The 20,301-nt window shown below is 58.3% G+C and overlaps 1 protein-coding gene across 4 annotated transcripts in view, besides 6 other annotated features; it reads left to right on the plus strand.

Annotated features, from left to right (window-relative positions):
* Nucleotides 39-258: a silencer, noted in NCBI's record as "silent region_11060". NCBI's record gives its function as "represses an Ori minimal core promoter by ATAC-STARR-seq in GM12878 lymphoblastoid cells {active_cell/tissue: GM12878}" and the evidence as "EXISTENCE:reporter gene assay evidence [ECO:0000049][PMID:35858748]".
* Nucleotides 429-758: a silencer, noted in NCBI's record as "silent region_11061". NCBI's record gives its function as "represses an Ori minimal core promoter by ATAC-STARR-seq in GM12878 lymphoblastoid cells {active_cell/tissue: GM12878}" and the evidence as "EXISTENCE:reporter gene assay evidence [ECO:0000049][PMID:35858748]".
* Nucleotides 477-20,301, plus strand: part of EPN1 (epsin 1) — a 34,308-nt gene continuing 14,483 nt past the window's right edge. Inside the window, exons 1-10 of one of the 4 annotated variants that reach the window (NM_001130072.2) lie at nt 477-686; nt 3,778-4,106; nt 10,647-10,896; nt 14,121-14,245; nt 14,548-14,622; nt 15,118-15,201; nt 17,005-17,308; nt 17,937-18,047; nt 18,202-18,288; nt 19,977-20,234. In NM_001130072.2, coding sequence (NP_001123544.1) covers nt 3,879-4,106; nt 10,647-10,896; nt 14,121-14,245; nt 14,548-14,622; nt 15,118-15,201; nt 17,005-17,308; nt 17,937-18,047; nt 18,202-18,288; nt 19,977-20,234 — 1,522 coding nt within the window. In that variant the 5' untranslated portion in view covers nt 477-686; nt 3,778-3,878. Of the gene's footprint in view, nt 687-1,879; nt 2,470-2,800; nt 2,986-3,777; nt 4,107-10,646; nt 10,897-14,120; nt 14,246-14,547; nt 14,623-15,117; nt 15,202-17,004; nt 17,309-17,936; nt 18,048-18,201; nt 18,289-19,976; nt 20,235-20,301 lie in introns of those variants that run through there. The other 3 variants (NM_001321263.2, NM_001130071.2, NM_013333.4) reach the window with 3 other exon arrangements.
* Nucleotides 2,954-3,248: a silencer, noted in NCBI's record as "tiled region #14549; K562 Repressive non-DNase unmatched - State 2:TssF". NCBI's record gives its function as "represses a minimal TATA promoter and a strong SV40 promoter by Sharpr-MPRA in K562 cells {active_cell/tissue: K562}" and the evidence as "EXISTENCE:reporter gene assay evidence [ECO:0000049][PMID:27701403]".
* Nucleotides 2,954-3,579: a biological region, named in NCBI's record as "Sharpr-MPRA regulatory region 14549".
* Nucleotides 3,170-3,579: an enhancer, noted in NCBI's record as "active region_15108". NCBI's record gives its function as "activates an Ori minimal core promoter by ATAC-STARR-seq in GM12878 lymphoblastoid cells {active_cell/tissue: GM12878}" and the evidence as "EXISTENCE:reporter gene assay evidence [ECO:0000049][PMID:35858748]".
* Nucleotides 6,044-6,544: an enhancer, noted in NCBI's record as "H3K4me1 hESC enhancer chr19:56192159-56192659 (GRCh37/hg19 assembly coordinates)". NCBI's record gives its function as "activates a minimal SCP1, AML or CMV promoter by ChIP-STARR-seq in naive H9 embryonic stem cells {active_cell/tissue: H9 hESC(naive)}" and the evidence as "EXISTENCE:reporter gene assay evidence [ECO:0000049][PMID:30033119]".

Below are 20,301 nucleotides of genomic sequence, written 5' to 3' on the forward strand. Positions count from 1 at the left end.
CTTCCTCGGTTCTGGGCTCGGGTGGGGGTTCCCTTGGCAAACTGCGGGCCCCTGGCTGGGACGCCCCTGCTGCCGGCGCCGGCAGCCTCGAGGCCTTCCCTGCTTGCGCGGTGCCCTTCTCGGGGTCGGCACAGGCACAGCCCCGGGGGACGTGAGGTTCCCGAGTGCTCTCCCACCCCGCCGACAGGAGGGATGGTGGCCGAGCGGGCCGGGGCGGGCGTGGCGTGGGTGTGCCAGGAGCTCCGCGGTTGCCGCCAAGCGAGCTGGAGCTGACTCTCGGCGTTCCGTGAGCACCGCGCGGATCCCCCGCTGCAGCGGGCGGAAGTGACGTAGAGGCGCCTAGCAACGGGGCCCAGCGCGCCGGAAGTGATGCCTTCCAGGTTGGCTTGGCTGCGGAAGCGACTCCTGCCAGGGCGGGGTGCGGCACGGGAGGGCGGGGAGCGCGGCAATTTCCGCTTCCGGTCCGTCGCCTCCTTCTGTTGCTTCCCGTCTCCTCGGCGGCTCCCCTCCCCCGCCCGGCTCTCCGCGCCCCTTCTGGGCGGCGGGGCGGCGGAGCCGTCGGCGTGCGGCCCTCCTTGCGTTCGTGCGTGCGCCCGTGGCCCGGCGCACGTCCCGCGACACCGAGGCCGAGCGGGGCAGGGGGCTGACCGCCATGACCCCCCAGAGCCCGGCGTGAGGGGGCCGAGGTGAGCGCGGGGCGGAGCGCGGGGGACGCTGGCCCGCCTGCTCCGGGTGTTCGGGCCTGGGCCGCGGCGCGCGCGGGCTCGCGTCTGGCCAGTTCTGGGTGTCTCTGGCGGCCTTTGTGTCTCTGCTCCTGTGTCGGCCTTGACTGCCCCCGTGTCGGTTGTCTGTGTCTGTCTCTCTCGTGTCTGTGTGTCTGTCAGCGTCTGTTTCCTGTGGGCCTCTGCCTGTGCCTGTTTCAGTGAACTTAGAAAAGGGTTTGGAGATAGGAGTGTGTTTGTGTGTCTGTCCCGGGTCTCTCTCTCCTCTGTCTGTCGTGTCTGTGTCTGTCAGGATTTGTTCGTGTCTCGTTGAGTTTCCGAGTCTTCTTTTCCCTAGGTGTCTCTAGCCCTTCCCTGCGGGCTTTTCTGCCTATGGTGCAAATCTTACCCCCGCCCCGTCTTCGCATCTGAGTTTTGCCCCCATACCTATCACCTCCAATCCTGAAGTTTCTTTCCAGGAGTCTGTTAACTTGATCTAGAATCTGCCCCTTTTCCCCAGTTTTCTGAGTCTCTGGTGTGATGGTGAAGAGCCCCAGCCTTGGATTCAGAAGCCCGGCTGCCTGCTAAGCTGTGTAATTGCCAGGTGATAGTCTCTGTGTCAAAACCTCAGTTTCCTAGTCGTAGGAAATCCATAGTTCGTAGGCATTCGTAGTTCCTACATCATAGGGTCCTTGTGCATGTAAGTTGAGGTGATGCTTGTAAAGTGCCTGACGGTATCTGACACATAGCAAGTGTGTAATTACTGGGAGCTCTGGTTTTTATTATTACAGTGCTTAGAGATTTTTACACAGTAAGTGTTAGATATCGGTCGGTTATTGGAGTACTCCTTGGAGAACTTTGCCATATCCTTTGTATTCTTTTTAATGTAAGAATTCTCTTTGAATCAATTTAATTTGAAATACAGTCTCATTCTAAGCAGTATCTGAGAAATCTCAGCTTTGATGTGCTAGTTGGGTAATTTTTTCTAATGCACGCCAAATAAGTACAGAGTATTAAGATAGTGCCTTTTCTGCCGCCACCCTTTTGGAAATGTTCTCTGTTTTTTCTCTGATAATAATAGCAGCCAGTGTTATTGAGCGCCTACTATCTGTGGGGCACAGAGCCAAGCACTGCATGTACCCATCTTATTTAATCAACAGGCCTACCAGGTAGGAATTCTTTCATTTCAGAGTTGAGCAAACTGTGTCTCAAGGAGGTGTGCGCTGCAGGTAGCTGATGTGGCCAGGATTTGAACCCACATTTTATATTCTTTGCCATTAGATTCCATTTTTCTTATCTCTTATTTCTCAGCGCCAGGTCTCTTTTTGTTTCTGGGCCTCTTTCTTCCTTGGCCTCCTGCCTCCCTGTCTTCCCATGTTCTTGTATCTGCTGCTGCCTGTGTTTTTCTCATTGTGTCTCTGCCTAGCTCCCTCTGCCCAGGTTTCTATGTGTCTCTTTCTGTCAGAACTGTCTTCTATTTCTTCTCAGTCCCCTTCTCTGCATTTGTTACATCATCTCTTCATCTTAATGTATTAGGCTGGGGCTGTTTTGGGACTCCAGAGAGTTACTTTTTAACTAGCTACATCTGTCTTCAGGTGCCTGGCTTTCTGGCCTGAGGTGGAAGCAGAGGCCAGCCTCTCTCCGTCATCCCTATCTCCCCTGGGCTTACATCATGGCGGGGCTTTGAAAATCTCCCTCTGTGGCTTCTTGGAGCCGCATAGATGGGTGATCAGAGCTGGCTCTGGAACCAGGCTGCTCCAGGAGTAAGGTGTGTGTCCCTGGGCAAGGGGCTGAACCTCTGTGTCTCAGTTTCCACCCTGTGAGGTGGCTATGAATCATGGGGTTGTTTCAAGGATTAACTGAGTTAATACATGTAAAGCACTTAAAACAGTGCCTGGCATGGGATAAGAGCAGTGCGAGTGTCTGCTGGTGTCATCATCATTTGCTTGACTCTCTTGTTTCTCGTCACCAGTCTCGGGATGGGTTAATTTAATTTAGGTTAATTTAAAAGTATGAGTTTTGGAGTTCAGGTGGGCCTCGGGTTGAGTCTGCCCTGCCATTCCTGGTGTGTGACCTTGGTTGAATTATTTAACTTCCAGGAGCCCAGTCTTTGCATGCAGTGTTGAAAAAGGTAATGTCCCTCTTGTGCTGAGCGAGCACCTGGCACACAGCAGGGACCCAGGCAGTGGGGCTGTTAGGTTCCTTATCTCTCCTGAGCCTTGGGCTTCCGCTATCCTTGGGACGTCTGGTCTTCTGGCTTCCCCGGTTCTTCCTGCCGCCCTGGGTTGGTTCCCTGCTCCTGCCTCTGTCTTTAATCCCTTCATCAGCCTTCTTTCCCATGTGTCCTTGTTTCTGCTGTGGATTCCTGCCCCCTCTGCCCTTGTTCCAGAGGTCTTTCCTGCCCTCCCTCTCCACTTCCTCCTTGCATGGTTTACTGAATGGTTTTTCTGGGCCAGCTTCTTTGCTGGGAAAAGCCACATGCAGACAGACATGTTCTCTGCCCCCATGGGGCCTGTGGGTTGACCTTAGCTACAGAATCAGACGAGAATATAAAATCATGAGGGAGACTGAGTTTACTGATGAGGCCCCAGGGATAGGTGACTGTGATGTTTGGGTGTGCACCTGGGAAGTGTAAGCAGAGCCCTTGGGGTGAGTGGATATCCCTGGATGAGGAAGAAGGAAGAGCGCATGGGCAGGACGGAGGGCCTCCTGATGCGCTGCCGGTGTTTACAGGGCGTCAGTTCTCTAGATGACCGCATGGAGCCCCATTTGACAGAAGAGAAAGCTGAGGTGCAAAAGATCCAGCCCGCCCAGGGTGGCCTTGCCAGGAAGTGCTGAGCCAGGTTGTGGGGCTGCGATCTGCCACTGCATATACTCTGCCTCACTGAGCAGGGGCCCCAGCAGGAAGGAGGCAGCCTGTTTGAGGAACTGAAACATGGATGGGGTTACTTTGAGACCTAGAGGTTAACAAGGGACAGAGCCTTCTGGGCCACAGTTAGGAACTCATCTTTGACCCTGAGGGCTCTGGGCAGGCCATGTCCCATTTGTGTTTCCAGAGGTCCTCTTCCCCTCGCAGATGCGGTGACCTGCCAGCACCTGCCGCAGCCTTCGTCCGGGAGTCGCCCCATCTCTCCACGCATCGGGGCCCTGTGCCCCTTGCTGCTGCAGCCGGGCACCATGTCGACCTCGTCCTTGAGGCGCCAGATGAAGAACATCGTCCACAACTACTCAGAGGCGGAGATCAAGGTTCGAGAGGCCACGAGCAATGACCCCTGGGGCCCATCCAGCTCCCTCATGTCAGAGATTGCCGACCTCACCTACAACGTTGTCGCCTTCTCGGAGATCATGAGCATGATCTGGAAGCGGCTCAATGACCATGGCAAGAACTGGCGTCACGTTTACAAGGTCAGCATCCTGCTCTCCTCCCCGGGCAGGTGCAGGGGCTCAGGTGGGAGGACAGGAGCCCGTGTTGTGCACCCTGCCTGGGATGGCATCCCGGTTCTCAAGAGGAACTGGAGAAGAGTAAAATCTCTCTTTTTGTTTAATGAAGGCAACGAATATAAGGCTAAGAAGTTTGGAGCCTTGTGGTTAAAATCTGTTTTTGAGTGAGTGGTGCGTACGTAAGATTCATGTGCTGAGGAGGCCTGAGAGGGCCCACGGTGCCCATCTCTTCTGTGTGCCCAGACACCCAGTTCCTTTCCTCACAGCAGCCAAGTTTCCGCTCTGGGCCCCATCTATGAATGCCTCTCAGGCAGGTGTGTGCTCCCCGTGGCACAGGCGATGCCACGCTGGGGATGAACGCTGTCGTGCCTGTGAGCAGGACTCAGCGACTGGGTTTTCAGTTTGCTGCTCTTGGGGTCCAGGGGCCTTGGCATCCCCACCTTTGGTCTTTGGTTACTGTGTTCCTCGTGTTACGGCAAAGTGGCCAAGGACATGGGCTGGGGCCGGGTTATACTCCCAGTGGCGGGATCTCAGGCTCGTCCCTGAATCTCCCTCTGTGAGGGCCCATGGAGCCGATTCACGTCTGACTTGGGGCAGGGGCTGGTGAGTGTTAGACTCCTGCTGTTGCGGTCCCGTCGGCAAGCATCTGCAGAAGGCCCGCTCTGGGTGTCTTGGTGCACCAGACCAACAAGGCCCCACCCTCATGCGCTTAGACCTGGGCCTGCTCTGGCGGAGGTCCCTGTCCTTGCTGATCTTTGAGACTTCTGCCTAGGTGAGGGTGGTTCCCTCCACTCACAGATGAGGAGGCTGAGGCCTGGAGCGTTGCAGCACTTACACATGGGAGCAGGGGTTGAGGCTCGTTTCCTGTGACTCGTTTTCATACCCATCCCGACACACCAGGATTGGGTTGAGTCATAGATTGAATCAGTTATTGGTCATTTATTGTGAAGGGCTGGGTGGCGTTTGTTTAGTTGAGAATCTTGGAAAACCCTGGAGGTGCAGGTGAGCCTCTCTGGAGGCAACGAGGAGGGATGGGGCTGGAGGGGTGGGTGTGCAGAGGGGATGAATCCAGAGGGGCCCCAGACGCACATCCTTCCTGGTCAGTGGCTGGGGTGATGCTGCTGGGGGCAGACACAGAGTGGCCTGTGGGCAGGGCTGGCAGGTGCCAAGGCCTGAGAGTCTGCTGGGGAGCATGTGGTGCTGGCAGCCAGGGTGGACGGCAGGACAGGGCAGTGCAGGAGAGGGGACGTGGCCTCCAGTGCCAGGCGGGGCTTGGGCTGCTTTACTGAGGTGTAATTTGCACACAGTGAAACCCAGCCTTTCGAGATAGAGTTCTCTGGATTCTGACAGATGCACATATTTCATAACTGTCATCACAGTCAAGGCATAGAAGGTTTTTGTCACCCCCAAGACCTCCCCTATGGTTTTTGCAGCCCCTCTGGGACTCTCCCCAGGCCTGGCTGTTCCTGCTGTATCCGCCATCCCTGCAGCATCTCTTGATTCTTGGGACTCTCCTTTCTATGATCCCCACAGCAGAGCCTGTAGGATCCCCAGCCCATGTGGCTGAGGACACGGGGTTCCCGCTCCACCCTGAACCACTGGTTCCTCATGCTGGGGTGGGGTTCAGCCTCAGTTCCCCGGGGGAGGGTTGATGGCGTCTGGAAACCTGCTTTGGTTGCTGCTTGTGCTGCCTGCTGGACACTGTCCTGAGAGCAGCTTTGTGAGGTCAGCACGTGTCACTGTTGTCCCTGCTGCGGCATGCGCCGATAGCTGAGCATAGGCACAGGGCAGGGGTCCAGGAGGGGGTCCCTGGGTCCACGTCTAGCCAGCGCCTCCCTTCCTGGCTGACCACTTCTATCCCGCAGTCCCCTTCTGGAAGTACGGGTGATGAGGACAACCCCACAGGCCCAGAGGCCCTGAGCCACTGTGAAGCTGCTACACCCCCTTTGGCCCTCTCCGGAGCCCTCTGTGCTGACCTGTTCTGGCATGAGGGCGAGTCCTCTTGCTTCTCACCATCCCTTCGCCACATGGTCTCATCTTGTCACTTCAGCCCCAGGTGGTGGGTTGTGCAGGAGCAGTCTTTCCACTTTGATGGATGGGGAAACTGAGGCCCAGAGACGGGGGAGGTGGCCTGCCGAGGCTCGTGGGGGAGCTGGGGCTTGGGCCCATCTGTTCAGAGCCCAGGCTGTCCCACCCTGTGGCCCTGCTGGCTGGCACTTTGTGGGCCTTATTGTCCCCGTGGAGAAGGAGGGTGAGCTGTGGGGGCCTTGCAGGCCTGGCTCTGCACGGCCTCCCTGCATGGCCTTGGGGGTGAGTATTGGTGAGTAAGGGCCGGCGTTTATTTGGTACCTTGTACGTGTAGCACACACAGGTTCTCATGAAATCCACGGTTACCCTGTAAAGGAAGTTCTTTTTCTCCTTTTCCTCTGTTTTCCAGATGAGGGAACTGAGACATAAAGGAGCTCAGCTCTACCTCGCAGGAGGTGGTAGAGCCAAGAGGAGCCCCGAGCCCACCCTCTGGGCCCTGCACTGCCACCTCACTTCTGAGGAATGCAGGGTCTCAGTCTTGGCTTTAAACCAGGGGTCAGCAAAGTACAGCCCACTGGTGAAATCCCACTCACAGCCTGTGTTTGTAAATAAAGTTTTATTGGAACACAGCCAGGCCCATTCATCTGTGGCTGTGAAGTAGTTGAGACAGAGAGTATATGGCCTGAAAAACTGAAATGTTTTTCATCTGGCTCCTTACAGAAATGTTTGCTGATCCCTGTTTTAAACTTTATTTCTGCATTGCAGGATGTCCTTGATAAAGCTGTCTTTAACATTAAGAAGGACTATCATTTTATGCAGTTGCCCACTGCTTTTTGGTTGTTTTCAGAAAAGCAAAGGAGAAATAATGACTTATTTTGCAAACTTTTTTTTTTTTTAACTTTTTTAGAGACAAAGTGTTGCTCTGTAGCCCAGGCTGGAATCCAGCAGTACAGTCATAGCTCACTGAGCCTTGACCTCCTGGGCTCCAAGCATGGTTGAGGAATAGCTGGGACCACAGGCACACACCACCATGCCCGGCTAATTTTAAGATATTTTAAATTTTTTTGTAGAGATGGCAGTCTCACTGTGTTGCCCAGGCTGGTCTTGAACTCCTGGGCTCAAGCGATCCTCTTGCCTTGGCTTCCCAAAGGGCTGGGATTATAGTCATGAGCCACTACACCTGGCCCACTTGCTCACTTCTAAAATAAGGTTTTAAATTTTTCATTAAGAAGTTGTATACTAAGCACATCATGAATGTATAACACAGCTGTTACGCATGTGGACACCTGTGTAGCCTTCACCTAGAGGGAGGTAGAGGATGCATTCAGCCTTCCAGGTTTCCTCAGGAGACCTGTCTCCCACAGCACCGTGTCTGATTTCTGTCTGCCAAGACTGTTCTTGAGCTTTATATATGTGGAGTCACACGCGTGGTCTTTTGTGTCTGGCTTCTTTTGCTCACCATCACCATCAGGTCAGCAAGGTTGACCGTGCTGTTGCATAAAGCAGTTGTTCATTTATTTTGAGAAAGTCTCACTGTTGCCCAGGCTGGAGTGCGTTGACATGTTCTCGGCTCACTGTAGCCTCTGCCTCCCGGGCTTAAGCAATCCTCCTGCCACAGCCTCCCAAGTAGCAGGGATGACACGCATGTGCCACCACGCCTAGCTAATTTTTTGTTATTTTATTTATTTATTTTTTTAGAGCTGGGGTTTTGCCATGTCACCCACGATGGTCTTGAACTCCTGGACTCAAGCGATCCACCGACTTTAGCCTCTCAAAGCACTGGGGTTACAGGATTTTGCCACTGCACCCGATTTTATATATTTATTTAATTATTGTTTCTTATTTATTTATTTATGAGACGGAGTCTCGCTGTGTTGCCCAGGCTGGAGTGCAGTGGCACCACCTCGGCTCACTGCAACTTCTGCCTCCCAGGTTCAAGCAATTCTCCTGCCTTAGCCTCCCGAGTAGCTGGGATTACAGGTACTTGCCACCACGCCTGGCTAATTTTTGTATTTTTAGTAGAGATGGGGTTTCACCATATTGGCCAGGCTGGTCTCGAACTTCTGACCTCGTGATCCGCCCGCCTTGGCCTCCCAAAGTGCTGGGATTACAGGTGTGAGCCACCGCGCCCAGCCTGTTTTTTGTTTTTTCTTGAAATGGAGTTTCGCTCTTGTTGCCCAAGCTGGAGTGCAGTGGTGCTATCTTGGCTCACTGCAACCTCTGCCTCCCAAGATCAAGCGATTCTCCTGCCTCAGCCTCCTGAGTAGCTGGGATTACAGGCGCATGCCACAATGCCTGGCTAATTTTTTGTATTTTTAGTAGAGATGGTGTTTCACCATGTTGGCCAGGCTGGTCTCAAACTCCTGACCTTGTGATCTGCCCGCCTTGGCCTCTCAAAATGGTAAGATTATAGGTGGGAGCCACCATGCCCGGCCTTATTTATTTATTTTTAAATGGAGTCTCACTCTGTCTCCCAGGCTGGAGTACAGTGGCGTGCTCTTGGCTCACTATCACCTCTGCCTCCCTGATCCACGGGATCCTCCCACCTCAGCCTCCTGAGTAGCTGGGATTACAGGTGTGCACCGCCACACCTGGCCAGTTGTTTTGTGTTTTTAGTAGAAACAGGTTTCATCATGTTGGCCAGGCTGGTCTCGAACCCCTGACCTCGGGTGGTCCACCTGCCTCAGCCTCCCATAGTGCCGGGATTATAGGCGTGAGCCACCACACCTGGCCTCATTTCTCTTTTATTTCAGTGTATGTGGTAGTCCCGCTGTGTGAGCGTGCCATAGTTGATGTATGCATTTCACTGTGCGTGGGTATTCGCACTATTTCCTGCTTCACAATCTTTTTAGCTGCGATACCAAAGTCCAGAGAGCTCTGGAAACGAAAGTGTTTCATGATCCGTTCGGCACAAAGTCTGACCCAGACTGAAGTGAGGTCGTTCACATGGTGTCTGTTGGTCCCACAGTAGTGTGGCTGTTGGCACGACTCTGCCCAGCGCGTTCTCTTATGTGTTGTATGTGCGTTATTTTCCTGGTCTGAACTCAGGAAAATTCTGAATTCCAAAACACAAGGGCCCCAGGAGTTGTGGACCTGGGACTGCCTCTTGGCTTGGGGTGTGATCAGGCATAGCAATGGCTTACCTGCTTTCCTTTCTTTCGTGTAAATACCTTGAGGGCCGGTTAAAGACTAATCTCTGATTACACTGTAAATACTGTTAACACACCTTTGAAAGGCCTTGCCAGAGCTAGGTCCAGCTGCCTCAGAGGGTGAGGAGATATGAATGGCCCTGGCATCTTTCCTGGCAGATTTCTCCTTGGTTCAGACGGAGCTTAGCTGTGATAGCTGACTCTTCCCCTAGGAGCCCTGGGTGGGTTTCTGTGGCTCTGTGAAGGCCCTGGAATCCCCTGCAGAATCAAAGTTGTGCCTTTTTTTGAGGTCAGTGACCAAGACACCCCCTGCAGAGCCTTAAGGGGGCCATGACTCCTCAAGCCCAGGACTTGAGCCTGAGCTAGGGAGAGCCTCAGAGACCTTGGTCCCCCCGCCCCCACTATTAATTTCAACTTGTTGAAAGGGAGTTTGTTTTCGTATTATAAAATACAAACATACCAAAGGGTGCAGATTGAACGATAATGTTCCCTCCGCCCTGTCCTTTTGCTCCTGGTGGTGTGGAACCTGGGTGCCCCTCCCAAGAGAGCCCGGGCCTACACAGGCCCTTGCGTGGATCTCTTCCCTTCTTGCAGAGGTGATAAACTACTGCTCCAGGCTGTTAGTACCAGCGTGAGGTTTTACAGTCAGAAATACACATTTCAAACTAGTACTAAGACCCCCTTCATTGTGATTTAACTAATGTGGTTTTCTTGGCCATGTTACTTTAGATTTTAGTTGTAAAGAAATAGACAGGGCTCCAGGATGCCAGGCGATGCCCATGGCGGCTGTGGTGCCTGTAGCTGCCATTTCCTCTTTTATTTGGATTGAGATGGAGCTCCTACACTGTGCAGCCCCCTTCATATCGCACAGTTCAGTGGCCTTCGGCCCATTCACAGTGCTGGGCGACCACCTCTGTCCAGCTCCAGAACGTCTTCATTGCCCCAGAAGGAAAACCCATAGCCTTCAGGTGGTCCCTCTCCATCCCTCCCTCCACCCCTGGCAACCCACAATCCACTCCGTCTCTCTGGATTTGCCCATTCTGGATGATTCACGTCGATGGAACCGTAGGCTGTGTGGCGTTCTGTGCTGGCGTCTGTCGCTGAGCGCAGTACCTCCGCGGCTGGTCCCCGTCACAGCGTGGGTCTGTGTTCATTCCTTTGCATGGCCGTGTCGTATTCTGTGGGGACAGATGTGTGTCCACCCACTGGCGACAGGTGGGTTGTGGGCCTTGCGCCCAGTCGGCCGCCCCAGAGCCCGCGTCGCAGGCAGTCTCTGGCCCGCCTTGTGCCCGGCGTGCTGACCGGGCATCCCCGTGCCCGCTCGCAGGCCATGACGCTGATGGAGTACCTCATCAAGACCGGCTCGGAGCGCGTGTCGCAGCAGTGCAAGGAGAACATGTACGCCGTGCAGACGCTGAAGGACTTCCAGTACGTGGACCGCGACGGCAAGGACCAGGGCGTGAACGTGCGTGAGAAAGCTAAGCAGCTGGTGGCCCTGCTGCGCGACGAGGACCGGCTGCGGGAAGAGCGGGCGCACGCGCTCAAGACCAAGGAAAAGCTGGCACAGACCGCCACGGGTGAGTCCCTCCCTGCGGCCCCTGACGGCCTAGAGTCTGTCCTCCGCCTACTGCGGCTCCCGGCACCCGGCCGCCCACTGCTTTCTCTCCCAGCCAGGAGGGACCGCGGCATCCCCCTTTGCTTCTCCTCACCTGGGCCCCTTGCTCTGGTCTCACTTGGGCCCTTTTTTTCCCTTAGCACCTCCCATGCAGCAGCTCTGGGACCCTTCCTGCCTCTTGCCTCGTGCCCCAGGGCAGGCCTAGAATTGGGAACTTTTATTCCGCTCCCCCATAGGCTCAGGGCCTGAGGGTGATCAGTGCTGGGGACAGGGCTCTGAGGGGACACGCACAGTGACCCCCGAGGGTGCTGTCCTTCTCTCTGCGCTGAGATGAGGGGAACATCGGAGAGGCAGAGGGGGGCCTGGAAGAGGCACAGAAGGAAGGCCAGAGCCAGGGCCTGCAGGTTGCACCAGGCATCTGGGCCTGTGTTAGGAGCCTTGACAGTGCCTTCTGGAGGTGGAGGACTCAGTCTGGTGGGTGGTGACCAGCACCGAAAACAAAACTTGAAATAGTGCATCCCACATCGTCAAGCCAAGATCTGTCCCACGAAACATTTCCAGTTATGTGATGGGTGTGTGGGTCTCGGACTGTTCCAGGAAGTGTGGTCTGTGTTGGTCGGGGGCTCACAGCCGTGAAGAGGCTAGTCCGGCTGCTCAGGACTGGGAGGGAGGCTGGAGAATGTCTGCCAGGCTCTTCTGCTCTCCAGGAAGAGTGGAGGTGCCTCAGTTAGTGGGGATACGTGGGATGGGGAGGGGCTGCTAGAGCACTGCCCTGGAGGTGGAGGTGGGTCAGCCAGGCCGGTGCAGACAGGAGGAAGGGCCTGTGGCCCTCGTGGGGTCCGGCTCGAGGGACTGGACTTGTTTGGGGAAGTCTAGGCCTTCTGTTTGGACGGGTCTCATTTGGGATCACCTTTCAGCACCCACGGGGAGACATGGGTGTGACGGGGTGTGTGCGACCCTGCCTGGGACTCCAGAGTAGGGACCCACGAGCCAGTAGATGGGCGTGAACGCAGAGAGAGAGTGAAGTGGAGGGAAGGAAGCCGGTGTGGCGTGGGAGTGCTCAGAGCCAGGGACAACAGGAGGGAGTGTAGGCGGCAGAGAGGGGCTGGTCAGCTCGAGGCAGGCAGGCAGGCAGGTGGGTGGCGGGGTTGGGGTGGACGGAGGAGGGACATTGGCAGTAGCTCGGAGGAGAGTGGGAGCCTCAGGTAAGAGGCCTGAGGGTGGGACATCCTGGCTCGGGGGTCGTCAGACTTTGTGCAAGGCCAGAGCTAATGTCCTCTGCGTTGCTGGCCACGCCTTCCCATCCTAGCTGCCTGGCCCCGTCCGCTGGCGGTTGCTGGGAAGCAGCTGCACCCCTCCGACACTCACCAAGGTCTCCGAAATTTGAATTTTATGTAGTTTTCACGTGTCTTTTTTAAGACTTTTAAGTTGTTATTTAATTTTTTAAGGGTACTCTGAATTTTCGCCCATCTTGGTGCATTCTTTTCATTTCTTCCAACCATTGAAAAATGTAAAGGCCTTTCTTAGACCTTCTCAGGCCAGCTGTGGCTGCCACTGTGGTGTGCTGGCCCCTGTCTTGGAGTGAGTTGTGTGGAGGGCTGTGGCTGGGGAGGAGGATGGGGGCAGCTAGGGAGTGAGCCCTGAGACCCTCAGTGGGCAGGGAAGGGCCTGTGGTCCCCGGGCAGCACCGAGGCTGGGTGCTCTGGTGATGGGAAGGCCCGGGTGTTGCTGGCTGGGTGCCAGTATTACCTGTGATGTGGGAGGTGGGGCCCTCAGGGCTGCTGGGCATTGGATTTAGCCACCACCAGGCTGGGGGGTTAGGGGCATGTGCAAGGTAGAGGTTGGGCAATGGGGTGTAGATTCCCAGCACTCACCTCTGAGAGTCCCTAGAGCTTAGGAGGAAGTCACAGGGGCAGGGAAGAGCAGGAGGGGCCACAGGGGTGTGGTCCTCCCTGTGCGCTGGCCTCACCTGTGCCCCACGCTGCCCTTCCATCTGCCCATCCCCTCAGAAGGCCGCTTACCCACCCAAGTCCGTCAATCCCTGCTGGTTCTCTCGTCCTTTCCTCACTCATAACCCCAGATGGTCACCCTTCGGCCCCGCTCTGCCACCCACATGCTCCCTGGAGCATCCCATGCACCCAGCCCTGCTGGGCACACCACACGGGGGCCAGCCTGGGGGCCCCTGGACCCGGTGCAGGTGGGGCCGCCAGACAGCTGCCTGCTGCGGCTCCGGGCAAGGGGAGCCAGGGCCTGCTCGTCAGGGAGAGGCCTGGGCCTGGGGAGTGGGTTGGGTGGGGACACAAGTACAGGACACAGGTGCAAGGCGGCGTCTTGGAGCTGGAGCAGACAGAACTTGCTGACCAGTGCACAGTGGTTGGGAGGGCGGGGCAGGAGAGGCAGGGTCCGCCCTGGGGCTTTGGAGGCTGGGGCAATGGCCCTGTGCTCGGCGGGCCTAGGGCCTGGTTGGAGCCTGTCCTCTGCACTGTGGAGGGGGGCAAGGGTCCACAGGCCTTGGGGGTGGAGAGAACAGTGTCAGGACAGAGTTTGAGGGTAGGCGGGGTTGCTGAGAGGATGCTGCAGTGGAGGCCGGGGATATCTCAGCAGCCTCCTGGAGGGTCCGGCCCTGCCTTCCTGTGTCCTCTCTCTCCCTTCCCCTCCTGCTCTTGGAACCAAGGGCTCCTCGCTAGCCCACTCCCTAACCCCGACTAGGCCTTGGATCCCGCTGTCTCAATGGATGCTGTTCTCCCCTCTGAATTCCAGTTGTTCCCTGCCAGAGCTACCATTCTCAACAAGCCCTGGAAACAGGCCTGGGAAACCTGGGAGGAAGGACCTCCCATCCCCCAGGGGCCCAGGGACAGACCCCAGGCACGCGGAGAGTCCTGGTGGTGGCAGGGCTCAGAGGTTGCTGGGGTTCCCCACCTGCTTATCAGACTGACTTTTGCTCTGGTCCTTCCCTGATGCCTGGCCCCTCCCGTGGGTGGGGCTGCCTGCATCCCCACCCTTCCTCCTCTGAGCACCTGGCGTCTGGTCTCCGCCTCTCAGTCCTAGTCTTGGCCTGCAGAGGTTGTAGGGTGGGGGACTTGGGGGGTGGGGTTGGACACAGAAGCCCCCGTCTGTCTAGGCTATGGGGTTTCCTGTCTCTCGTTCCCTGGTCTGGGTCTCACGCGTTTCTCACCCGCCCTCCAGCCTCATCAGCAGCTGTGGGCTCAGGCCCCCCTCCCGAGGCGGAGCAGGCGTGGCCGCAGAGCAGCGGGGAGGAGGAGCTGCAGCTCCAGCTGGCCCTGGCCATGAGCAAGGAGGAGGCCGACCAGGTACTGGGCGTGCAGCTGGGGCTGTCTGTCCGCCACCCGCCTCCACGCCTCACTTCAGGCTCCCTCCCAGCCAGGCGTGGGCCTGGCCCTCACTGTCGCTGCTCCACATGCTGTCACTCGTCTCCTCCCCAGTCCTGCCTCATCCTCACCCCGCCGTCCCTCTGCGTGTCACTCTCTGCCTGTCCCTCACTGGTTCAGGGACCCCCAGCCCTCTCTTTCTTCGGCTCTATCTGACCCTGGCTCTGCCTCTGACTCTGCCTCTGGCCCCTCCCGTCATGCCCCTCACACTCTCTCTCCCCCAGCCCCCGTCCTGCGGCCCCGAGGACGACGCCCAGCTCCAGCTGGCCCTTAGTTTGAGCCGAGAAGAGCATGATAAGGTCAGAGCAGCCTCCCTGTCCCTGCCCCTGCCAGGGGCTCCCCTCAGACCAGCCCCGTCGCCCCTTCCTAAGTCACCCCCCACCATCCTGCTGGGCCCGAAGCCCACAGGCTCACGCGTGTTGAAACCTCAGTACCTTCAGCCGTAGGATGTAGGACCACAAGTCAGACAGAGCCTGGGTGGTGGCCAGCACAGCTGTGCCAAGGTTGCTCGGGTGACCAGGGTCCCTTCCTCCCCCCAACGCAGGAGATACCACCGAGGCGGGTGCCCGTCCTCCCCGGGTGCGCCAGCACAGCACCCCACTCCCCTTATCCCCTGTCCCGCCTGACCTTTGACCCAGGTGCCCCATCCCCATTTCATACATTGTCCGCATCCCATCGAATCCTTCAGCCGCTTTCGTTGGGGTGGGAGGGGTTGCTGGGGCTTCCAGGCTGAGGTGGCATCTGCCCGTGGCTCACGTTCTCATGTCTCCCTGGTCGTGCCCGTGCCCCAACAGGAGGAGCGGATCCGTCGCGGGGATGACCTGCGGCTGCAGATGGCAATCGAGGAGAGCAAGAGGGAGACTGGGGGCAAGGAGGAGGTGAGCGGGGCTTGTTCTGCCCTCCCTGGCCCCTGCAGGTGTCCGTCCGTCCCATCGCTCATTCCTGCGTGGCCAGGTCCCTGGAGCAGAGACTGAAACACAAGGTCCTGGAGCTGGGCACCGGGTTTCCAGGCTTGGTCGGCCTCTCTGTGCCTCTCCCTCCCTGCTGGGCTGAGGCCGGTGACTGACCAGGCTGCCCTGCGGCCACCTCCTGTGGTCAGCGCTGGCCATCCCCCTTCGGGCTGAGCACCGTGAGGGCCACCACCGGCCGCCACAGCTGAATGGGGAGGCCCAGAATAGGCCAACAGCCTGGCATGGCCACAGGGAGGAGGGTGCAGGGCTCGCCCCATCTGTCACACTTTGTCGGGCACCTCCTTGGTGCCAGGCCGTGTGCTGCACACCCAGGGCCTGTTGGTGAGCGAGGAGGCATGGTCCCGCCCTCGCGAACACTGTTTCTGTGGCGTCCCCATGCTCTGCAGCTGAGTAGCAAACCCTCCCACAACCTTGTGCTTCCAGGTCACGCTTCAGTACTTCCCTGTGACGGGCCCGCTGGCTGGTTGTTTCGTGTCATGGCTGAGGTCACTCATGCCTCTGGGCCCGGGGTGTCCGCACTGGCCTTGCCCTCCAGCCTCCTCCCCTGGCCTCTCCCTGGTTACTAGTCTGTCCTGAGTGTCCTCATAGCACAGTAGCTGCTGCTGCTGCCGCCCCCCAGGACAAGCTCGTCGGGCTGGGTTGGAGTTGCCTCGTCAGCCTGTGCACTGCTATTGGTCTCAGCAGGTCCTGAGGCCAGCCCAAGTTTGAGGGGTGGGGACAAGGCCTCCTCTCCATGGGAGGCGGCAGACAGCTTGTGGCCATAAGTGATCAGGCACAGTGGGACTTTCTTGGTAGACGGAAAGCCTCTTTAGGTTGGCCTCGGCCAGGGGGTCTCTATCAGTGTCCACCACAGCCCAGTGACCCGAGTAAGGGCTGCCCTGCTGGGGGAGCACCAGATCTCACCCATCTCTTCTCCTGCCCTGCCCTGGACTCAGCTCTTCTCCCCTTCCCATCCCCGCCGGGGCCTTTGCCTCACGGGTGCTGACTGGAGATGTGTGCATGAGTATGTTGGGGGCATCTGCACGTTCTGAGACGGGCTCTGGTTAGCTGGGCCCGTCGTGTGCCCACTTCCAGAACACAGGACCATGCATGCGTGTGCGTGCGGCATGGGAAGACCTGCAGTGCGATGACTGCGGGGTGACAGTGGGGCAATGGGCGTGGGAAGGCCTGCAGCGCGATGACTGCGGGGTGACGGCGGGGCAACGTAGGGGGCATCGTGAGGGGTGCTCAGGTTGACCTGAGTGGGTTCATGGGGGGCTTCCCAGGGGAAGGCATGGAGCAGGGGCTGGCCAGTCTGGCTGGAGAAGGCACGGTGGGCAGAGGGAGGATCGAGCTGCTTCGGGTCGAGCGAGGGGAGGGCTTGGCCTCCATCCTCAGTCAGGGCCGGGCAAGGACCTGGGAGCAGGTGGAGTTAAGGGGCTGCCCTGCTGCAGTGTGGAGAATGGATGTGGGGCAGGAGTGGGGCTGTGTTGGGGCTCCCTGGTGGTACCCTCGGGTGGGGTAGGTGGGCAGGGGTGGGCCGACCCCATGACGGATGAGGAGGGAGGCCAGGTGGTGTGTTTGGGGCCTGCCTCCCTCTCACCCCTTATGGATGGCTGCTGTCTGGACACCCAGGGCCTGGCCGCCTCCCCCGCCACGGGCCCCAGCTTGGTCCCTGTCCCAGGCTTCCCACCACTTCTTCATGCTCCTTCTCTTCTCTCTCCCCCACAGTCGTCCCTCATGGACCTTGCTGACGTCTTCACGGCCCCAGCTCCTGCCCCGACCACAGACCCCTGGGGGGGCCCAGCACCCATGGCTGCTGCCGTCCCCACGGCTGCCCCCACCTCGGACCCCTGGGGCGGCCCCCCTGTCCCTCCAGCTGCTGATCCCTGGGGAGGTCCAGCCCCCACGCCGGCCTCTGGGGACCCCTGGAGGCCTGCTGCCCCTGCAGGACCCTCAGTTGACCCTTGGGGTGGGACCCCAGCCCCTGCAGCTGGGGAGGGGCCCACGCCTGATCCATGGGGAAGTTCCGATGGTGAGTGCGTGGCCCACTTGCATGCAGCCCCTACGCCTGTGTGCACCTGTCTTTGGTTGACTGTGCCCTTGGACAGGGACAGATCGAGCCAGTGGCGCCGGGCAGTGGTGGGGCGTCCTGGGTGCAGGGGAGGGGGCAAGGGCGGGGGTCAGATGAGAGCCCAGCACAGGGTGTGTGAGATTGTGCCTTGGAGGACATGGGGGGTGTGCTGTGGGGAGGGGATGGCAGCTCAGCCGAGGGGCAGAGAGGCTCTGGCCAAGGCAGAGCGTGTGTGACGTAGGCATCTGGGGAGGGCGGTGGGTGGAGCTGGGAGGTGCAGGTGGAGAAGGGGCCTGACACCCAGCTGGACAGGGGAGGGGTGGCCGAGCCGTGGGAGCTGAGGGAGGGCTGGGCAGGTCTGGCAGAGGCTGCGGGGAAGCCCCTCACCCCAGCTGGGGTCCCAGGGGCAGAGCCTGGCAGAGAAGCCCAGTTGGAATTTGAGTGTGTGTGCGGGAGGCCGGGTGGGGTGGGTTTCTGGGGGGCAGGGGGGCTTTTGTGTGAACAGCCACAGATTTGGAGGCAATGGTCCTCCCTAGCCATCTGGGCAGTCAAGGTTGCCAGCCCCTCATGCTCTTCTGTCCTCACCCAGGTGGGGTCCCGGTCAGTGGGCCCTCAGCCTCCGATCCCTGGACACCGGCCCCGGCCTTCTCAGATCCCTGGGGAGGGTCACCTGCCAAGCCCAGCACCAATGGCACAACAGGTACTGGAATGGGGGTGGGAATGGAGCCCCGGGTGGGAGTGAGTGGGAGAAGTTAGTGTTGAGTGTCCTAAGGGAGGGGTGGACGCCTGGACTGGAGGTGGGGGCTGAGGCGGGGCCCCAGGGAGGGGCTGAGCAGAACATCCTGACCCCACAGCAGCCGGGGGATTCGACACGGAGCCCGACGAGTTCTCTGACTTTGACCGACTCCGCACGGCACTGCCGACCTCCGGGAGCAGCGCAGGTGAGCCCCTGCCCTCCCCTGCCCAGTGGCGAGAGGGAGCCTCCCCTAGCTCTTCGGGAGCCCCGTCCCTTGCTGTCTTTGTCCCACTCCAGGCAGGGCCGGCTGGACTTAGGGATGAAAAGTTCAGTTGGGTAGAGTGGGCCAGAACCATCCACCTGTCTTTAAAAGAAGTGTGCATCTTTATTTTAGAGAAATTGCAGACTTAGAGAAAAACTGAGAATTGTTCTCAAGGTTTCCCACCCGAATGTTGACCTCTGACCCGTCTCTGCCTCCACGTTGCTTGAGTGCCTTGCAAACTCTCCAGGTGTCTCAAAGAACACGGACTGTCTTGTCCTGTGCAGTGAGCTGCGTGGACAGGGGTTTGGAAGGCAGCCGAGGCTCCCCTTCCGGGTCGCCACTCACCTGCTGGTGGCTCCTGGGCTGGCCAGGGTGCGTCCTCATGGGTGCTGCCTTTAGCTGCCCTGGCTCCTTGGGGTTTTCAGCTGGCGTAAGCTGGCGCCCATCGCCGGTGACGGGCCCATCTGCTGAGTCCTGAGTGGCTCTTCGTCAGGAGTGCCCGAGGTCATAGTGGGCCACTGGTGCTTCGCCGCGGCCCTCAGCTGATACCTGTCTGTCCCATGATGAGTCAGGTCAGCCTTGATCTCTTATTTTTATTTTAAGTGAGCTGTTAGTGAAGAGCAGGTTGTGGTACAGAAACCTGTTTCCACTGATGAAAGGCTGGCAGCTTGCAGGGAGTGAGCTGCACCCACGCTTCCCTCCTCTCATTATCTAGGTTAACGTAGAGCAACCTTCCAGCATGCAGTTTTCCTTCTTTTAGGCCCTTTTTTGTCCCATACAAATGTGTGCATTTTTTCAACATTAGGTAGAATTCTTAAATCTATTTAAAAGGAAAATCAGGCCAGGCGCAATGGCTCACGCCTGTAATCCCAGCACTTTGGAAGCTCGAGGTGGGTGGATCACCTGAGGTCGGGAGTTCAAGACCAGCCTGACCACCATGGCCAAAACTCCGTCTCTACTAAAAACACAAAATTATTACCCAGGCATGGTGGCGCACGCCTGTAATCCCAGCTACTTGGGAGGCTGAGGCAGGAGAATCGCTTGAACCCAGGAGGTGGAGGTTGCAGTGAGCTGAGGTTGCGCCATTGCGCTCCAACTGGGGAAACGAGCGACACTCCGTCTCAGAAAAAAAAAAAAAAAAAAAAAAAACAGAAAATCAGACCTCTAGCCAACAGATGTCTTCACGCTGGCCCGGAACACGTGTCTGTGCTGTCTGTCCACTTGGAAGCTCCCTCTGGGGCTGTGTACTCAAGGAGCGTCTGAGGGCAGGCTCCTCTGAGCCTGGAGGCACCTGTGAACACGCCCCCGCTGCCTTCCCCCGCGGGCCTATAGACCCTGGACGGCCCCACCCTGAAGCAGTTGCTGCCCTCTGGTTGTCAGAGGGTGACACCTGCTTCTGTCATCCCTCTTGTGTTTGCTCACTGGAATCAGACCCACCTTATGGGAATCTGGGCTGACGTGAGGTTTTGGCCTGGGCAAGCGATGCTTCCGCTCTGCACCTCAGTTCCTCCTTCCCGAGGCCTCTGGGCACCGGGCTCTTTGAAGCGCCCCCTATGATGGCCTATACTGCTCCCGGGTTGGAGCCTCACTGCTGTCTGCCCTGTCTGAGCCCCTCTCCCGGATCCTTCCAGGAGAGCTGGAGCTGCTGGCAGGAGAGGTGCCGGCCCGAAGCCCTGGGGCGTTTGACATGAGTGGGGTCAGGGGATCTCTGGCTGAGGCTGTGGGCAGCCCCCCACCTGCAGCCACACCAACTCCCACGCCCCCCACCCGGAAGACGCCGGAGTCATTCCTGGGGCCCAATGCAGCCCTCGTCGACCTGGACTCGCTGGTGAGCCGGCCGGGCCCCACGCCGCCTGGAGCCAAGGCCTCCAACCCCTTCCTGCCAGGCGGTGAGTGTGGGCCCATCACCTGCTCAAGTCCTTCCTGTGGGTTCCACCAGAGGAGGTGCCTCACGGG

This window comes from Homo sapiens, chromosome 19, assembly GCF_000001405.40.
Source record: "Homo sapiens chromosome 19, GRCh38.p14 Primary Assembly".
Taxonomy (NCBI): domain Eukaryota; kingdom Metazoa; phylum Chordata; class Mammalia; order Primates; family Hominidae; genus Homo; species Homo sapiens.